Source organism: Homo sapiens, chromosome 17 (genome assembly GCF_000001405.40).
Source record: "Homo sapiens chromosome 17, GRCh38.p14 Primary Assembly".
Taxonomy (NCBI): domain Eukaryota; kingdom Metazoa; phylum Chordata; class Mammalia; order Primates; family Hominidae; genus Homo; species Homo sapiens.
In genome coordinates this window covers 6870813-6891549 of record NC_000017.11, presented here as the reverse complement: position 1 = coordinate 6891549, position 20737 = coordinate 6870813, and the positions used below count along the sequence as shown (strand labels likewise).

The 20737-nt window shown below is 38.9% G+C and overlaps 1 long non-coding RNA gene and 1 pseudogene across 2 annotated transcripts in view; one reads left to right on the top strand and one right to left on the bottom strand.

Moving 5' to 3' along the window:
* Nucleotides 1-20737, bottom strand: part of ALOX12P2 (arachidonate 12-lipoxygenase pseudogene 2) — a 46774-nt pseudogene that overhangs the window by 8800 nt on the left and 17237 nt on the right. The window lies entirely within an intron of this gene.
* Nucleotides 4573-16330, top strand: LOC124903907 (uncharacterized). Its single transcript, XR_007065596.1, has 2 exons — nucleotides 4573-10640; nucleotides 14663-16330. It is a non-coding gene; the product is annotated as an uncharacterized LOC124903907 (long non-coding RNA).

Sequence of the window (20737 nt, the reverse complement as noted above, 5' to 3'; positions counted from 1 at the left end):
TGTTCCTCTCCACCTGTCCTAACTCAAGCTAAACCTGTTTTTGAACCTAGAGGCTTACAGTAAAGGAGAGGGCTTATCTTTTTATCTTTTTTTTTAAAAATGAACTTTCCCTTTTTTCTCTCTCTTTGAGTCTCATATTCTCATACATCTCCTATGAAGGAAGCAAAGAGAGAATGAAGAAACCACTTAGTAAGTAGTCAAATGTATCTCTGCCATCTGCTACTGGCTACCTGTGTGAACATTATATGGTTCTTATAAGCAATGTTTGGTTTTCTTGGAGCAATGTTCAGCTTCATGCCTATCTTTGCTACCAAAAGAACTCCTTCTAGAATGAAATCCGTATTTCATCGGGACACTATCCCAACGTCATTTTCAGGTTGGATGTTCCATTGTTTAGCCTGGAGAAACTGCAGTCTGATGGTTTCTGCCCTTCTGCTAGTCTCCACGACCCTTCATATGGAGCCACAGGAATCCCTGACATGCTCTTGTTTACCCTTTAAGGGCTGCAGAGAAGTAAAATGAGTTGAAAATGGCCTGCATCTTCTTCTAAGGCACAATACATTATGATTATTTCAGGCTTGGCACTCTTGACCAGTGTCTCATTAAAAAATGCTCAGTGAAATTTCTTCATTCAAACAGTAGCAAACATGAGTTGCTATATTAAAATATGCTCCCAAATTCAGAAAATACATGCCAAATAGCCCCTTCTTCTCCATAATGGAGGAATAAGACTGTGCAATGCTCTATACTGCTAAGATCTCAGAACTCTTCCATAATAACTTTCAGTATTCTACACCTCAGTGATGGTACTAGGAGATTCATATTCTGCCAATTTTCCCATATCAGTCAAGGACTCAATATAAAACAGTTGGAACACTTAAATTAGAATAATTAGAGGAGGGTTTATTTACAAAGGAACAACTTATGGTGGATAGGGTGTGATGGAACCAAAAAGGGATAGTGCAGGAGCCTGAGGCTGGCAGCAGTGTAGCTGGCACCATCCCTGGGCCCAAAGGAAAGAGGAAAGAGAGAAGTAACTAGCCGAAGGGTATGAAAGCTCATAATAGTATCCTTCCAGGGAAGAAAGAAGAAAGCATAAAGATAGAAAATAGATTTAAAGAGACCAAGTAGCTGTGTTGAGGAAACTCAAATTCAAGATAACACAGAGAAGGAATTCAGAATCCTATCAGATACATTTAACAAAGGGATTGAAATAATTTAAAAGAATCAAGAAATTCTCAGGGTGAAAAATGTAATTGATATACTGAAGAGTGCATCAGAGTCTCTTAACGGAAGAATAGACTAAGCAGAAGAAAGAATTAGCTTGAAGACAGGCTATTTGAAAATAGTCAAATAAAAAAATAAAGAAATAAAAAATGAAAATACACAATCAGAAGGGACAAAAGAAAAAATAATAAAAAAGAATGAAGCACATCTATGAGATCTAGAAAACAGCCCCAAAGGGGCAAATCTAAGAGTTATTGGCCTTAAAGAGGAGGTAGAGAAAGAGATAGGAGTAAAAAGTTTAAAGGGATAATAACAGTAAACTTCCCAAACCTAGAGAAAGATATCAAAATCCTAATACAAGAAGGTTATAGAACACCAAGCAGATTTAACCCAAAGAAAACTACCTCAAGGCTTTTAATAATCAAACTACCAAGGGTCAAGCATAAAGGAAAGATTCCAACAGCAGCAAGAGAAAAGAAGCAAATAACATAAAATGGAGCTCCAATAGGTCTCACAGCAGACTTTTCAATGGAAACCTTACAGGCCAGGAGAGAGCGGCATGACATATGTAAAGTGCTGAAGGAAAAGAAAACATTTACTCTAGAATAATACATATCGTGAAAATATCCTTCAAATGTGAAGAAGAAATAAAGACTTCCCCAGACAGACAAAAGCTGAATGATTTCATCAACACAAGACCTGATCTACAAGAAATGCTAACGAGTTCTTCAATTTGAAAGAAAAGGACATTAATGAGCAATAAGAAATCATCTGAAGGTCCAAAACTCATTGGTAATAGTAAGTACACAGAAAAACACAGAATATGAAAACACTGTAACTGTGATTTGTAAACTACTCTTTTTTTTTTTTTTTTCCAGGTTCAAGTGATTCTCCTGCCTCAGCCTCCCAAGTAGCTGGGACTACAGGCATGCGCCACCACGCCCAGCTAATTTTTGTATTTTTAGTAGAGACGGGGTTTCACCATGTTGGCCAGGATGGTCTTGATCTCTTGGCAGGATGGTCTTGATCTCTTGACCTCGTGATCCACCCACCTCGGCTTCCCAAAGTGCTGGGATTACAGGCGTGAGCCACCGCGCCCAGCCTTGTAAACTAGTCTTATACTAAATAGACCAAAAGATCAACCAATTGAAAATAATAACTAAAAGAAATTTTCAAGGGATGCATAGTACATTAAGATATAAATAGAAACAACAAAAAGTTAAAATGTGGGGGATGAAGTTAAGGCATAGAGTTATTATTAGTTTTCTTTTTGCTTGTTTATGCAAGCACTATTAGGTTGTGATAACAGTGATAAGCTTAAAATAATGGCTTATAAAATAGTGCTGGAAAATCTCATGGTAACTCAAATCACAAACATACAACAAATAGACACAAAAGTAAAAAGCAAGAAATTAAATCATACCACCAGAGAAAATCACCTTTACTAAAAGGAAGACAAGAAGAAAGGACGAAGAGAAGACCACAAAACAATCAGAAAACAAATAATAAAATGGCATGAATATTACTTATCAGTAATAACATTGGATGTAAATGTACTAAACTCTCCAATCAAAAGACATAAAATGAAGATTCAGTGATCTGTCGCTTAGAAGAAACACACTTCATTTATGGAAGACACATACAGACTAAAAATGATGTAAAAAGATATTCCATACCAATGGAAACTAAAAAGGAGCAGAAGTAGCTACACTTACATCAGACAAAATAGATTTCAAGACAAAAACTATAAGAAGAGACAAAGAAGGTCATTATATAATGATAAGGGGATCGACTCAGCAAGAGGATAACAATTACAAATGTATATGCATCCAACACTGGAACACGCAGATATATAAAGGAAAGATTACCAGAGCTAAAGAGACAGACCAATAATAGCTGGAGACGCCAACACCCCACTTTTGGCACTGGAGAGATCTTCCAGACAGAGAATCAATAAAGAAATATCACACCTAATGTGCACTATAGACCAAATGGACCTCATAAATATTTACAGAACATTTCATCCAACAGCTGCAGAATACACATTCTTTTCCTCAGCACATGAATTATTCTCAAGGATAGATCATATGTTAGGTCACAAAGCAAGTGTTAAAACATTCAAAAAATTGAAATAATATCAAGCATCTTCTCTGACTACAATGAAATAAAAGTAGAAATCAATAAAAGGAGAAATTTTAGAAACTATACAAATACATGGAAATTAATATGCTCCTGAATGACCAGTGGGTCAATGAAGAGGTTAAGGGGGAAATTGAAAAGTTTTCTGAAACAAATGTTAATGGAAACACAACATGCCAAAACCTATGGGATACAACAAAAGAAGTACTAAGAGGGAAGTTTATAACTAAAAGCATCTACATCGAAAAAGAAAAAAAAACTTCAAACAAATTACCTAACAATGCATCTTAAAGAACTAGAAAAGCAAGAGCAAACCAAACCCAGAATTAGTAGAAGAAAAGATAATAAAAATCAGAGCAGAATTAAAGATTTTGAAATAAAGTAGCACAAAAGATCAATGAAACAAAAAGTTGGTCTTTGAAAAGATAAACAAAATTGACAAATCTTTAGACAGAATAAGAAAAAAAAGAGAGAGGAGCCAAATAAGATTAGAAATGAAAAATGAGACATTAGAACAAATGCCACAGAAATTCAAAGGCTCATTAGTGGCTATTATGAGCAACTATATGCCAATAAATTGGAAAATCTAGAAGAAATTGATAAATTCCTACATATGTACAACCTACCCAGATTGAACCAGGAAGAAATCCAAAACCTGAACAGACTAATAACAAGGTATGAGATAGAAACTGTTAATAAAAAAATAAAAATTTTCCCAGCAAAGAAAAAGCCAGGACCCAATGGCTTCACTGCTGAATTGTACCAAACATTTGGAGAAGAATTAATACCAATCCTACTCAAACTATTACAAAAAGTATAGGAGGGGGGAATACTTGCAAACTCATTCTATGAGGCTAGATCTATCCTGATACCAAAAGCAGACAAAGACGCACCAAAAAATAAAACTACAGGCCAATATTTCACTGATGAATATTGATGCAAAAATTCTCAACAAATACTAGCAGACCAAATTCAACAATACATTAAAAAGATCATTCATCATGACCAAGTGAGATTTATCCCTGGATGCAAGGATGGTTTAACATATGCAAATCAATCAATGTGATATATCATCTCAACAGAATGAAGGACAGAAGACATATGATTATTTCAATTGATGATTAAAAAGCACTTGATAAAATTTAACACCTCTTCATGATAAAAACCCTCAATAAACAAGATATAGAAGGAACATACCTCAATATAATAAAAGCCATATACAACAGACTTATGGCTAGTATCACACTGAATGGGGAAAACTGAAAGCCTTTCCTCTAAAATATGGAACAAGACAACGAAGTCCACTTTCTTTTTTTATTTTTTCTTTCTTTTTCAATAAGACTGCTCAAGGATCAAATATGCCCACTTTCATCACTGTTATTCAACATAGTACTGGAAGTCCTAGCTAGAGCAATCAGATAAGAGAAAGAAATGAAGGGCATCCAAATTGGAAAGGAAGAAGTCAAATTATCTTTATTTGCAGATGATATGATCTTATATTTGGAAAAACCTAGACTCCACCAAATTAAAACTGATAAATTTATTAAAATTGGAGGATACAGAAGCAACATACAAAAATCAGTAGGATTTCTATATGCCAACAGCGAACAATCTGAAAAAGAAATTAAGAAAGTAATCCTATTTACAATAGTTAAAAATAAAATATAATACGTAAGAATTAACTAAAGAAAAAATTGACACCCTAACATCACAATTAAAAGAACTAGAGACGCAAGAGCAAACACATTCAAAAGCTAGCAGAAGGCAAGAAATAACTAAGATCAGAGCAGAACTGAAAGGGATAGAGACACAAAAAACCCTTCAAAAAATCAATGAATCCAGGAGCTGGTTTTTTTGAAAAGATCAATAAAATTGATAGACAGCTAGCAAGACTAATAAAGAAGAAAAGAGAGAAGAATCAAATAGACGCAATAAAAAATGATAAAGGGGATATCACCACCGATCCCACAGAAATACAAACTACCATCAGAGACTACTATAATCACCTCTACGGAAATAAACTAGAAAATCTAGAAGAAATGGATAAATTCCTCGACACATACACCCTCCCAAGACTAAACCAGGAAGAAGCTGGATCTCTGAATAGACCAATAACAGGCTCTGAAATTGAGGCAATAATTAATAGCTTACCAACCAAAAAAAGTCCAGGACCAGACGGATTCACAGCCGAATTCTACCAGAGGTACAAGGAGGAGCTGGTACCATTCCTTCTGAAACGATTCCAATCAATAGAAAAAGAGGGAATCCTCCCTAACTCATTTTATGAGGCCAGCATCATCCTGATACCAAAGCCTGGCAGAGACACAACAAAAAAAAAAGAGAATTTAATACCAATATCCCTGATGAACATCAATGCAAAAATCCTCAATAAAATACTGGCAAAACAAATCCAGCAGCACATCAAAAAGCTTATCCACCATGATCAAGTGGGCTTCATCCCTGGGATGCAAGGCTGGTTCAATATACGCAAATTAATAAACATAATCCAGCATATAAACAGAACCAACGACAAAAACCACATGATTATCTCAATAGATGCAGAAAAGGCCTTTGACAAAATTCAACAAGGCTTTATGCCAAAAACTCTCAATAAATTATGTATTGATGGGAAGTATCTCAAAATAATAAGGTATCTATGACAAACCCACAGCCAATATCATACTGAATGCGCAAAAACTGGAAGCATTCCCTTTGAAAACTGGCACAAGACAGGGATGCCCTGTCTTGAGAGAGGGATGCCTTCTCTCACCACTCCTATTCAACATAGTGTTGGAAGTTCTGGCCAGGGCAATCAGGCAGGAGAAGGAAATCAAGGGTATTCAATTAGGAAAAGAGGAAGTCAAATTGTCCCTGTTTGCAGATGACATGATTGTATATCTAGAAAACCCCATTGTCTCAGCCCAAAATCTCCTTAAGCTGATAGGCAACTTCAGCAAAGTCTCAGGATACAAAATCAATGTGCAAAAATCACAAGCATTCTTACACACCAATAACAAACAGAGAGCCAAATCATGAGTTAACTCCCATTCACAATTGCTTCAAAGAGAATAAAATACCTAGGAATCCAACTTACAAGGGATGTGAAGGACCTCTTCAAGGAGAACTTCAAACCACTGCTCAATGAAATAAAAGAGGATACAAACAAATGGAAGAAGATTCCATGCTCATGGGTAGGAAGAATCAATATCGTGAAAATGGCCATACTGCCCAAGGTAAATTATAGATTCAGTGCCATCCCCATCAAGCTACCAATGACTTTCTTCACTGAATTGGAAAAAACTACTTTAAAGTCCATATGGAACCAAAAAAGGGCCAGCATTGCCAAGTCAATCCTAAGCCAAAAGAACAAAGCTGGAGGCATCACGCTACCTGACTTCAAACTATACTACAAGGCTCCAGTAACCAAAACAGCATGGTACTGGTACCAAAACAGAGATGTAGACCAATGGAACAGAACAGAGCCCTCAGAAATACTGCCGCATATCTACAACCATCTGATCTTTGACAAACCTGACAAAAACAAGAAATGGGGAAAGGATTCCCTATTTAATAAATGGTGCTGGGAAAACTGGCTAGCCATATGTAGAAAGCTGAAACTGGATCCCTTCCTTACACCTTATACAAAAATCAATTCAAAGTGGATTAAAGACTTACATGTTAGACCTAAAACCATAAAAACCCTAGAAGAAAACCTAGGCATTACCATTCAGGACATAGGCATGGGCAAGGACTTCATGTCTAAAACACCAAAAGCAATGGCAACAAAAGCCAAAATTGACAAATGGGATCTAATTAAACTAAAGAGCTTCTGCACAGCAAAAGAAACTACCATCAGAGTAAACAGGCAACCTACAGAATGGGAGAAAATTTTTGCAGTCTACTCATCTGACAAAGGGCTAATATCCAGAATCTACAAAGAAGTCAAACAAATTTACAAGAAAAAAACAACCCCATCAAAAAGTGGGCGAAGGATATGAACATACACTTCTCAAAAGAAGACATTTATGCAGCCAAAAGATGCATGAAAAAATGCTCGCCATCACTGGTCATCAGAGAAATGCAAATCAAAACCACAATGAGATACCATCTCACACCAGTAAGAATGGTGATCATTAAAAAGTCAGGAAACAACAGGTGCTGGAGAGGATATGGAGAAATAGGAACACTTTTACACTGTTGGTGGGACTGTAAACTAGTTCAACCATTGTGCAAGTCAGTGTGGCGATTCCTCAAGGATCTAGAACTAGAAATACCATTTGACCCAGCCATCCCATTACTGGGTACATAGCCAAAGGATTAGAAATCATGATGCTATAAAGACACATGCACACGTATGTTTATGGCGGCACTATTCACAACAGCAAAGAGTTGGAACCAACCCAAATGTCCAACAATGATAGACTGGATTAAGAAAATATGGCATATATATACCATGGAATACTATGCAGCCATAAAAAATGATGAGTTCATGTTCTTTGTAGGGACATGGATGAAGCTGGAAACCATCATTCTCAGCAAACTATCTCAAGGACAAAAAACCAAACACCACATGTTCTCACTCGTAGGTGGGAACTGAACAATGAGAACACATGGACACAGGAAGGGGAACATCACACACTGGGGCCTGTTGTGGGGTGGGGGAGGGGGGAGGGATAGCATTAGGAGATATACTTAATGTTAAATGAGTTAATGGGTGCAGTGCACCAACATGGCACATGCATACATATGTAACAAACCTGCACGTTGTGTACATGTACCCTAAAACTTAAAGTATAATAAAAAAAGATAACAAAAACTATAAAAAAGACGTTTCAAATAACCTATAATCTCATCAATTAATAATACAATATTAATATTTTAAAGAATTTCCTTTTATTTCAATTGTGCCTACATCTGTTCATCTACTTTTGTATAAACATATAAACACACGAAAAGAATATATTCACTTTATTCAGAATAAAACTATACTCAAAGTTATGGGGCCCTAAAAAAAAATTTTAAAGGATACAAAAAAATGGAAAGATATTCCATGTTTATGGATTAGACGAATCAATATTGTTAAATGTCCATACTACCCAAAGCAATCTACAGATGCAATGCAATCCCTATCAAAATATCAATGACATTTTTCACAGAAATAGAAAAAACAATCCTAAAGTTTATATGGGAACACACACACACACACACACACACACACACACACACACACACAGACACACACAAGCCCAGAATAGCCAAAGCTATCCTGAGCAAAAAGAACAAAACTGGAGGAATCACATTGCCTTACTTCAAATTATACTACAGAGCTATAGTAGCCAAAACAGCATGGTAGAGTTACAAAAACAGACACATAGACAAGTGGAACAGAATAGAGAACCCAGAAATAAATCCACACATCTACAGTGAACTCATTTTTGACAAAGATGTTAAGAACATACATCAGGGAAAGGACAGTCTCTTCAATAAATGGTGCTGGGAAAACTGGATATCCATATGCAGAAGAATGAAACTACACTCCTATCTCTTGCCACATACAAAAATCAAATCAAATGCATTAAAGACTTAAGTCTAAAGATTTAAATCTATGTTCTCAAACTATGAAACTACTACAAGAAAACATAGGGGGAAATCTCCAGGATATTGGTCTGGGCAAAAATTTCTTGAGTAATACCCCACAAGCACAGGCAATTGAAGCAAAAATCAACAAAAGAGATCACATCAAGTTAAAAAAAAAAACAAACTTCTGTATAGCAAAGGATGCAATCAACAAAGTGAAGAGACAACCCACATAATGGGTGAAAATATTTGCAAACTACCCATTTGACAAGGGATTAATAACAAGAATACATAAGGAGCTCAGACAACTCTATAGGAAAATAACCTAATAATCTGATTAAAACAGACAAAATATCTGAATAGACATTTCTCAAAAGAAGATATCCAAATGTCAAATAGGTAAATGAAAAGGTGCTCAACATCACTGATCAGAGAAATGCAAATCAAAACTACAATGAGAAATCATCTTACCACAGGTTAAAAATGGCTTATATCCAAAAGACAGGCAATAACAAATGCTGGTGAGGATGTGGAGAAAAGGGAACCCTTGTACACTGTTGGTGGGATTGTAAATTAATACAACCACTATGGAGGTTCATCAAAACACTAAAAGTAGAGCTACCATATGATTGAGCAATCCCATTGCTAGGTATATACTCGAAAGAAAGGAAATCAGAATATCGAAGATGTATCTGTACTCTCATGTTTCTTGCAGCACTATTCACAATAGCCAAGATTTGGAAGCAAACTAAATGTTCATCAACAGCTGAATCAATAAAGAAAATATAGTACAATTACATAATGGAGTGCTATTCAGCCATAAAAAAATAAGATTCCGTCATTTGCAACAACATGGATGGAACTGGAGGTCATTATGTTAAGTGAAATCAGTCAGGCACAGAAAGACAGACTAAATGCTCTCACTTATTTGTGGGAGCCAACAATTAAAACAATTGAACTCATAGACGTAGAGAGTAGAAGGATGCTTACCAGAGGCTGGGAAGCATAATGTGGTGGGGGGAGTGGGTAGGGCGTGGGGAATGGAGATGGTCAATGGGTACAAAAAAATTAGAAAGTGTTGGGAGCAGGCCCCCCAAAATCTGGCCATAAACTGTCCCTAAAATTGACCATAAACAAAATCTCTGCAGCACTGTAACATGTTCATAATGGCCCTAACGCCCAAGCTGGAAGGTTGTGGGTTTATGGGAATGAGGGCAAGGAACACCTGGCCCGCCCAGGACGGAAAACTGCTTAAAGGCGTTCTTAAGCCACAAACAATAGCATGAGTGATCTGTGCCTTAAGGACATGCTCCTGCTGCAGTTAACTAGTCCAACCTATTCCTTTAATTCAGCCCATCCCTTTTCCCATAAGGGATACTTTTAGTTAATTTAATATCTATAGAGACAATGCTAATGACTGGTTTGCCATTAATAAATACGTGGGTAAATCTCTGTTCGGGGTTCTCAGCTCTGAAGGCTGTGAGACCCCTGATTTCCTACTTCACACCTCTGTAGTTCTGTGTGTGTGTCTTTAATTCCTCTAGCGCTGCTGGGTTAGGGTCTCCCCGACTGAGCTGGTCTCGGCAAGTGGTGTCCATTCGTGGGGGCTCAAATCCAGGTCGAAGGGTCGCCAGAGCAACAGTTGGAATGGAAAACCAGCTGGAGGACACAGGAGTACTCTTAAAGCAATCCCCGTGGTGAGTAAGAAGGGGAGCTTGGAAGGGTAACAATGGGACAAGTGTGGGGTCTGGTTCATTCCATCTTGGAACTTTTTCACACTGATCATGAGGAGGAAGGAGAGTATAGTGAAGTAACAGAAGAGGTTACAGAGCATGTTCATTTACCAGCTAAAGCAGCAAAGGAAGGAGAGGTTCATCCCTACCCTTCTGCACCCCCTCATTATTATTTTGAAGAAAAAGACCCTCCAGATCTTTCTTTTCCGGAGGACACGGGGCGAAAAGTAGTTGCCCCTGTGACTATTTGAGCAGCGCCTCAAGCGACTGCTTTTAGTTCTATTCAGGTAGGAATTCAGCAAGCTAGATGAGAGGGTGATTTAGAGGCTTGGCAGTTCCCTGTTAGAATACACCCCTCCCACCCCCAATCAAAAGGGAAATATTATAGCCACATTTGAGCCTTTTCCTTTTAAATTACTCAAATAATTTAAACAAGCTATAAATCAGTATGGACCAGGTTCTCCTTTTGTAATGGGACTGTTAAAGAATGTTGCTGTTTCCAGTCAGATGATTCCTACTGACTGGGATGCTCTTACTCGAGCTTGTCTAACCCCTGCTCAGTTCTTACAATTTAAAACTTGGTGGGCAGACGAAGCTTCCATTCGGCTTCTCACAATGCCCAGGCCCAACCTCAAATTAATATAACTGCACACCAACTTTTGGGGGTTGGTGGTTGGGCTGGTTTTGATGCACAACTGGTCATGCAGGATGATGCCTTAGAACAGCTTAGAGGAGTGTGCATTAGAGCTTGGGAAAAAATCACTTCAGGTGGGGAACAATACCCTTCCTTTAGTGCTATAAAACAGGGACCAAGAGAACCATACATTGATTTTATAGCTCGGTTACAGAAGTCTCTTAAAAAGATGATTGCAGATTCGGCTGCTCAGGACATAGTGTTGCAGTTATTAGCTTTTGACAATGCTAATCCCAATTGCCAGGCTGCTCTGCGACCTATCAGAGGGAAAGCACATTTAGTTGATTATATCAAGGCCTGTGATGGTATTGGAGGTAATCTGCATAAAGCTACTCTGCTAGCACAGGCAATAGCAGGACTGAGAGTGGATAAAGGAAATACTCTGTTTCCTGGAACTTGTTTTAACTGTGGGAAGCATGGTCATACTAAATAGAATGTAGAAAAAATCAGTGAGTCAGGCCGTCAGTTAGGGGAAAAAAGAAAACTGCTGATCCTGAAATATGTCCAAAATGTAAAAAAGGAAAACATTGGGCTAATCAGTGTCACTCTAAGTTTGATAAAGAAGGGAACCCAATTTCGGGAAATGCCATGAGGGGCCCATCCCGGGCCCCATTCTAAACCGGGGCATTTCCAGCTCAGGCCTTTCCCTCACTGCTGTACAATGTCTGTCCCCCGCCACAGCTGGTAGTGCCACAGTAGATTTATGCTGCACAAAAGCTGTGAGCTTTCTGCCTGGGGAACCCCCGCAAAAGGTCCCAGCAGGAGTCTGTGGACTCTTGCCAGCAGGGACGATAGGATTACTTTTAGGAAGGTCTAGTGTAAGTTTAAAAGGCATACAAATACATACAGGAGTCATTGATTCAGATTATAATGGGGAAATTCAAATTGTTACATCTACTTCTGTTCCTTGGAGAGCAGAGCCAGGAGAGCGCATAGCACAGCTCCTGATTTTGCCGTATGTGGGAATGGGAAAAAGTGAAATTAAACGAATAGGAGGATTTGGAAGCACAAATAAACAAGGCAAAGCAGCTTATTGGGTAAATCAAATTACTGATAAACGTCCTACCTGTGAAATAACTATTCAGGGAAAGAAATTTAAAGGTTTGGTAGATACAGGAGCAGACATTTCAATCATTTCTCTACAGCGCTGGCCATCTGCATGGCCAATTCAACCTGCTCAATTTAACATAGCTGGAGTTGGTAAAGCCCCTGAAGTATATCAAAGTAGTTATATTTTGCACTGTGAAGGGCCTGATGGACAACCTGGGACTATTCAACCAATTATAACTTCTGTACCTGTAAATTTATAGGGAAGAGATTTATTACAACAATGGGGAGCACAAGTTCTAATTCCAGAACAATTATATAGCCCTCAAAGTCAACATACAATGCATGAAATGGGGTATGTCCCTGGTATGGGACTAGAAAAAAATTTGCAAGGTTTGAAAGAACTGCTTCAAGTGGAAAAACAAAGTTCTCGCCAAAAATTAGGAAATAATGTTTGATGGCGGCCATTGTTAAGCCTCCAGAACCTATACCTTTAAAATGGTTAACAGATAAGCCAATTTGGATAGAACAATGGACGCTAAGTAAAGAGAAACTGGAGGCTTTAGATAAATTAGTTACTGAACAATTAGAAAATGGGCACATAGCTCCAACATTTTCCCCTTGGAATTCTCCAGTTTTCGTAATTAAGAAAAAATCAGGTAAATGCAGAATGTTAACTGACTTAAGAGACATCAATTCAGTTACACAACTTATGAGAGCATTACAGCCAGGATTGCCTTCTCCTGCTATAATTCCAAAAAATTGGCCTTTGATAGTCAAAGATTTAAAAGACTGTTTCTTTACTATCCCTTTAGCTGAGCAAGACTGTGAACAGTTTGCATTTACAATTCCTGCAGTAAACAACCTGCAGCCTGCTAAGCGTATTCATTGGAAAGCGTATTCATTGGAAAGGGGCATGTTAAATAGCCCCACAATTTGCCTGACATATGTGGGGCAAGCAATTGAACCTACTCGTAAAAAGTTTTTACAGTGTTACATTATTCACTATATGGATGATATACTTTGTGCTGCCCCACTCGAGAAATATTACTCCAATGTTATGATCACTTGCAAAATTCGATTTCTTGCGTTAGTTTAATTATAGCTCCTGACAAAATTCAGACTACTACTCCTTATTCTTACTTGGGGACCTTAGTAAATGACACTACCATTGTGCCACAGAAAGTAACCATACTTAGGGATAAATTAAAAACATTAAATGATTTTCAAAAATTACCAGGGGATATTAATTGGATACGACCTGCTCTAGGCATTCCTACCTATGCCATGAGTAATCTGTTTTCTATCCTTAGAGGAAATCCTAGTCTCACTAGCCCTTGGCAATTAACAAACGAGGCAGAGGCAGAGTTACAACTGATTGAGAAGCAAGTCCATAAAGCTCAAATAAATAGAATAGATCCAGAGAAGACTCTAGATTTGCTAATTTTTTCAACTCAGCATTCACCCACTGGTGTTATTGTCCAAGAACAGGACTTAGTAAAATGGCTTTTTCTTCCACATACTAATTCATGGACTCTAACTCCTTATTTAGATCAAATCACTACTATAGGGAGTAGGAGAACTCAGATTGTTAAATTACATGGATATGATCCTAGAAAAATTATTGTCCCTCTCACGAAGGCACAAATACAGCAAGCTTTTATAAAAAGTCTTACTTGGCAAACCCATTTAGCTGACTTTGTGGGTATTCTCAATAATCATTTTCCTAAAATGAAGCTGTTTCAGTTTTTGAAATTAACTAATTGGATTCTCCCCAAAATAACTAAGTTTAAATCAATTGAAGGGGCTGAGAATGTTTTTACAGATGGGTCTAGTAATGGTAAAGCTTCTTATTTTGGCTCAAAAAGTAAAGTTTTCCAGACGTCCTATACTTCAGCTCAAAAAGCAGAGCTTGTAGTGGTAATTGAGGTATTGACTGCTTTTGATGTGCCTATTAATGTGATTTCTGATTCTTCATATGTGGTTCATTCCAACAGAGTTAATTAAAAATGCTCAGTTATGATTTCATACAGATACACAACTGATGACTTTATTTACCCAATTGCAAACAGCAGTTAGACGTAGAATGCACCCTTTTTACATCACTCACATTAGGGCTCATATACCTCTTCCAGGATCTTTGACTGAAGGGAATCAAATGGCTGATCGCCTAGTTGCTAATGCAATATCTAATGCTAGACACTCACAATTTAACCCATGTTAATGCCTCTGGTCTCAAACGCAGATACAGCATTACCTGAAAAGAAGATAACCTGGGGTAGAGGTTATGCTTGTGTTTCTCCAGGCCAAAATCAACAGCTGATCTGGATACCATCAATACACCTGAAACCTTAGCATAAGCCAGATTACAGGAGGATCCCGAGGACCCCCCAGTTGCAGCCATGTCAAGACTGATGCTGAGGAGGACCCCAATTGTCACGAGCAACACCCGTCAAACACAGCCACCCACCTGGGGACAGATCAAGAAGCTGTCACAGATGGCGGAAGAAAACCTGAGGAAAGCGGGACAACCAGTCACAATGAATAATTTAATGGTAGCTATGATAGCGGTTATCACCACTGCCATGAGTATTCCTTCAACAGGGGCTGACACAGAGAACAGTTATACTTATTGGGCATATTTATCAATCTTGGCCGGCAATAATGCCTGGATGCAATCACTCTGACACAGTTACACATGCTTTCTGATCTCAGTATTTACCATAATAAATCTGCTCATATAATTGAGGCATACCATCCTCAAAAACCTTTTTGTAAACAGGATTGGACCCAGTTAGAAAAAGATGAACGTACTTGTTTAGGAAGATTGCTTTGCAGAACAGACAGAGGTGCTGCACAATGATTCCTATGGAATCATTATTAATTGGTACCCTAAGGGGATGTTTAGCTTGAATTGCACCTCTCAGTCTGCGTGCCATGGCCACACTATGTTCAGATGATCTGAACAAAACGGTCAGATGGTAGAAATGATAAGAAGTATGGCAAAAGTTCCTATTATCTGGAACCGTGGCGGTATAGTGGCACCTCAACCTCAAATGATATGGCCTGCTCTAGAAGCTTAACATAAGGATTTGTGGAAACTATTAGATGTTCTTAATAAGATCAAAATTTGGGAAAGAATAAAAAGGCATCTAGAAGGACACTCTACAAACTTGTTTTTGGATATGGCAAAATTAAAAGAACAAATATTTAAAGCATCCCAGGCACACCTGACCTTAATGCCAGGAACTGGAGTCCTTAAAGGAGCTGCAGACAAATTAGCAGCTAGTAACCCATTAGAATGGATAAAAACACTTGGAAGCTCTGTATTTCAATGATGATTGTGCTTTTAATCCATGTTGTTTGTCTTTGTATAGTGTGCAGATGTGGATCCTGACTCCTGTGAGAAGTAGCTCACTGTGACAAAGCTGCCTTTGCTTTTATCTCTTTGCAAATCAAAGAAGGGAGACATGTTGGGAGCAGGCCCCCCCAAAATCTGGCCATAAACTGTCCCCAAAACTGGCCATAAACAAAATCTCTGCAGCACTGTAACATGTTCATAATGGCCCTTAACACCCAAGCTGGAAGGTTGTGGGTTTATTGGAATGAGGGCAAGGAACACCTGGCCCGCCCAGGATGGAAAACCACTTAAAGGCATTCTTAAGCCACACACAATAGCATGAGCAATCTGTGCCTTAGGGACATGCTCCTGCTGCAGTTAACTAACCCAACCTATTCCTTTAATCCGGCCCATCCCTTCGTTTCCCATAAGGGATACTTTTAGTTAATTTAACATCTATAGAAACAATGCTAATGACTGGTTTGCTGTTAATAAATACGTGGGTAAATCTCTGTTCGGGGGCTCTCAGCTCTGAAGGCTGTGAGACCCCTGATTTCCCACTCCACACCTCTATATTTCTGTGTGTGTGTCTTTAATTCCTCTAGTGCCACTGGGTTAGGGTCTCCCCGACCGAGCTGGTCTTGGCAAGAAAGAATGAGTAAGACCTATTATTTGCTAGCACAACAGGGTGACTATAGTAAAAAATAATTTAATTATACATTTTAAAATAACTAAAAGAGTATAATTGGATTTTTTGTAACATAAAGGATAAATGCTTTATCCTTTAGCAAAGATGGATACTCCATTCTGATGTGATTATTACGCATTGCATGCTTTATCAAAATATCTCATGTAACCCATAAGTATATATATCTACTATGTACCCACAAAAATTAATATTAAACTTGTCCAGGTGACTTTGGGAATTCCCATCCCATTCTCACCACTGCAAAGCCTTTAGGCAATAGGAAAATCCTCTAAATCAAAACAGTATTAAACCATATTCAGATAAGCCATTTTCTTTGAGTTGGACTTAAGAGTTTGAGACTGCCTCATGGGAAGCATCTCAGAGGATGAGATAATGGAGAAAGACTGGTGTAGTAGTTAAGGCCATAGGGTTTTGAGCTGAACACACTTCAGTCACATTCTGGCCATGCCCCTAACTTGCTGTGTGACCCATGACATATTACTGAGGATACAGCCTCTATGTCCTTATCTATAAAATCAAAATACTAAAACCTACATCATAGAGATACTTGAGGATTAAAAGGGTTACTGTGCAAACTTGCTCTTAACACAGTCTATACAATTTAATAAGCATTCGACAAATGATATCATCATTACATACAAGGATACCTCAAGACTTAGAGAGGAAGCTGAGCTTGTAACTAAAGATGAAGAAGACCAGTGCACAAAATGGACCACCTCGGGGTCATCAATTGTAATGGTTGTCATGTTGTGGCCTTTTGAAACTGTAGTTTTGAAAATGAAACTACATACAATGAAGGGAGAAATTTTCTTTCTTGTTTTTTTTTTTTTTTTTTTTTTTTTTTTTTTTTTTTTTTTTTTGGAGATGGAGTCTTGCTCTGTTGCCCAGGCTGGAGTGTAGTGGCATGACCTCGGCTCACTGCAAACTCTGCCTCCCAGGTTCAAGCAATTCTCGTGCCTCAGCCTCCTGAGTAGCTGGGATTTCAGGTACATGCCACCATGCCTGGCTAATTTTTATATTTTTAGTAGAGACAGGGTTTCACCAGGTTGGCCAGGCTGGTCTCAAACTCCTGACCCCAAGTGATCCACCCACCTCGGCCTTCCAAAGTGCTGGGATTACAGGCATGAGCCACTGTGCCCGGCCATGAAGGGAGAAATTTTTTACACAAGTTAGTCAATCTTAGGGGCATCTTCTCTAGAGCTTTAAGATCTTTACTAATTATTCAAACTTCTTATAGGACCTAGAGATGCCTCCCTAGGGTTTGAGAGTACCAAAATTAATGAAGACCTACAGTTAAATCTCAAAACACCTAGGGGCTATCACAGATGGAGAAATCAGAGAAAAGCTTTCAGATTCTATTTCCACAGCCTTCTCAACTAAAATCAACTCATCAAAGACTTAAGAGTACCGACAACAAAGAGATGAATTAGTCTCTGTCTATGAATACCACTTAGAAAACAACTGGAAAGATTACCCAGGTTTAACTCTAAACGGCATCTGCTTTAGTTACCAGTTTTGTTAATGAGCTCCATACTAAACTCAGAGAGTTTACTCATACTAATTAACATCGTATTAATTATATGCTCCTCTCCACCTGTCCTAATTCAAGTTATACCTATTTGTGGACCTAGAAGGTAAGAGTAAAGCAGAGGGCTGATCTGCTTTTTACACAATTTCCCTTTGTCTCTTTGAATTTCATGCTTTCATACATCATCTGTGAAGGAAGCCAAGAGAGAATGAAATTCCACTTAAGTAACTGGCCAAAGGTACCACTGCCAAAATGCCCCTCTCTTTAAGATCCATGTTTTAGCAGAAACCCAAAAGATGTACAGGCATCTAAATAATCTGAAAAATGCAAACTCATGGATCTCCAACTGAAACAACTCATGGGGAATCACCCCAAGGCCTTGAAGTCACCTCGACATCCCTACGATCATGAGTAGTCTGGAGCACCTGTAATTATCTCAAGGTCCAAAAAGAAAAACGTCAGCATCCCAGTGACTCCCCTTTGAGGAATCTGCTCTTGTGCACCCCCTGATACCCTTGAACACACAGGGAGAAATAATAATCCCAGTCAGTGAGCACCCTATGACCTTTCTAATAGATACTAGAACCACCTACTCTACCCTTAACCCTCACAATTCCTTACCATAATGCCTCAGTAGTGGGGGTGGATGATTTGCCTCTTTCTAAGCCCCTTTTGGTGTCTCTTGGACTCCATCATGCCCAACACAGCTTTTTGTTAAATTTCACAATCCCTGTTAATCTATTAGCAGGGATTTACTTTCTATTTGGAATGTTAATATTTTTGTTTATCCGACGTACTAATTCCTGAAGTTCTGGAACTCCTTCCCCCTGGCCTTTATCCTCCAACAGCTCTGATAGATCACCCGTTTCCTTGCTCCCCCCATAATTCCCCAAGCCCTTGGCATCCCTCACTCAGAACATGCTCACTCACATCCATCAGTTTCTTTGGCTACAGGATCAACAGACATATTGGGGAAGTAGGGCCCTTAAAAGTAGAAATAGACTCCACCATTCCCCCTCCATGGACTATCCCAGTTTCCTTCAAAATCTGAAGCAAGTGAAGGTCTCAGATCTGTTTATTATTCAAGGATTCCTTGACAAAAGGTTCCGCATCCCTATTTGCAGTTCCTGTAACGCCTTTGTTTTCCATGTACAACACCTAAGATTAGACACTGCTATAAGAAAATGAAATGGCTGAGTGTAGTGTGATGAGTCACCCACCAGATTACTTAAGGATCTATGTCTGCTGCCTGAACCCTGAAAGCTAGGCAGTGAGTCAGTGGCCCACCCAAGGAGCAGGTATCCCTGAGAACCGAAACATCCCAGAGTATATCTGAGAGCATACCAAGGAAAACAGTCCCATTGCGCACACACAGTAGGAAAAGAGCCAGAAAATTAGCCTAAAAGCAGCTTAGAGGCCGGGCGCGGTGGCTCATGCCTGTAATCCCAGCACTTTGGGAGGCCAAGGTGGGCGGATCACGAGGTCAGGAGATCCAGACCATCCTGGCTAATACGGTGAAACCCCGTCTCTACTAAAAATACAAAAAATTAGCTGGGCGAGGTGGCGGGTGCCTGTAGTCCCAGCTACTCGGGAGGCTGAGGCAGGAGAATGGCGTGAACCTGGGAGGCGGAGCTTGCAGTGAGCCGAGATCGGGCCACTGTACTCCAGCCTGGGCGACAGAGCGAGGAGACTCCGTCTCCCAAAAAAAAAAAAAAAAAAAAAAAAAAAAGCAGCTTAGAAAGGTGACTATAGTCAATAATATTTACACATTAAATAAATGTATAAATATATATAAATAAATTTAAAATAACTAAGAGCATAACTGGATTGTTTATAACACAAAGAATAAATGCTTGAGGGGATGAATACCTCATTTTCCATGATGTGTTTATTATGTATTACATGCCAATATCAAAACATCTCATATACCCCATACACCTACTATGAGGTATATGAGTAGGTATATATCTACTACGCACCCACGAAAATTAATACAAAATTATTTTAAAGTTGGCCAGGCGTGGTGGCTCACGCCTGTAGTCCCAGCACTTTGGGAGGCCAAGGCGGGTCGATCACAAGGTCAGGAGATCGAGACCATCCTGGCTAACACGGTGAAACCCCGTCTCTACTAAAAATACAAAAAAAATTAGCCAGGTGTGGTGGCAGGCGCCTGTAATCCCAGCTACTGGGGAGGCTGAGGCAGGAGAATGGCATGAACCTGGGAGGCGGAGCTTGCAGTGAGCCGAGATAGTGCCACCATACTCCAGCCTGGGCTACAGAGCGAGACTCCGTCTCAAAAAAATAAAATTATTTTAAAGTAAAAATAAATAGATCATAAATGAAAAGCAGACAGGTGGCAGAGCAGACCTCCATGTTGTCCTGCTGCCTTGCTGCTGCCCAGGAGTACCCTGTAGGTAAGTCCCAATAAACTCATCTACTCCTCAAACTGAACTTATCTAAGTCATTCTTTGGTGTCTTGGCTCCTTCCCAGTATGGGGGAACTTGCTTCTATACTGTTCTGGCTTTTTCCCATAACAAATGGTGGTTGCTGGGAACTAGGGGGAGGAGGGCAAGTTGCAGAATAGGGAGTTGTTTAATGGGAATAGTTTCAGTTTTGCAAGACGAAGAGTTCTGGAGAATGACTGCCAACAATGTGAATGTATTTAACACTACTGAGCTGTACACTTACAAATGATTAAGATGGTAAATTTTATGTATATTTTGTCACAATTAAGAATAAAAA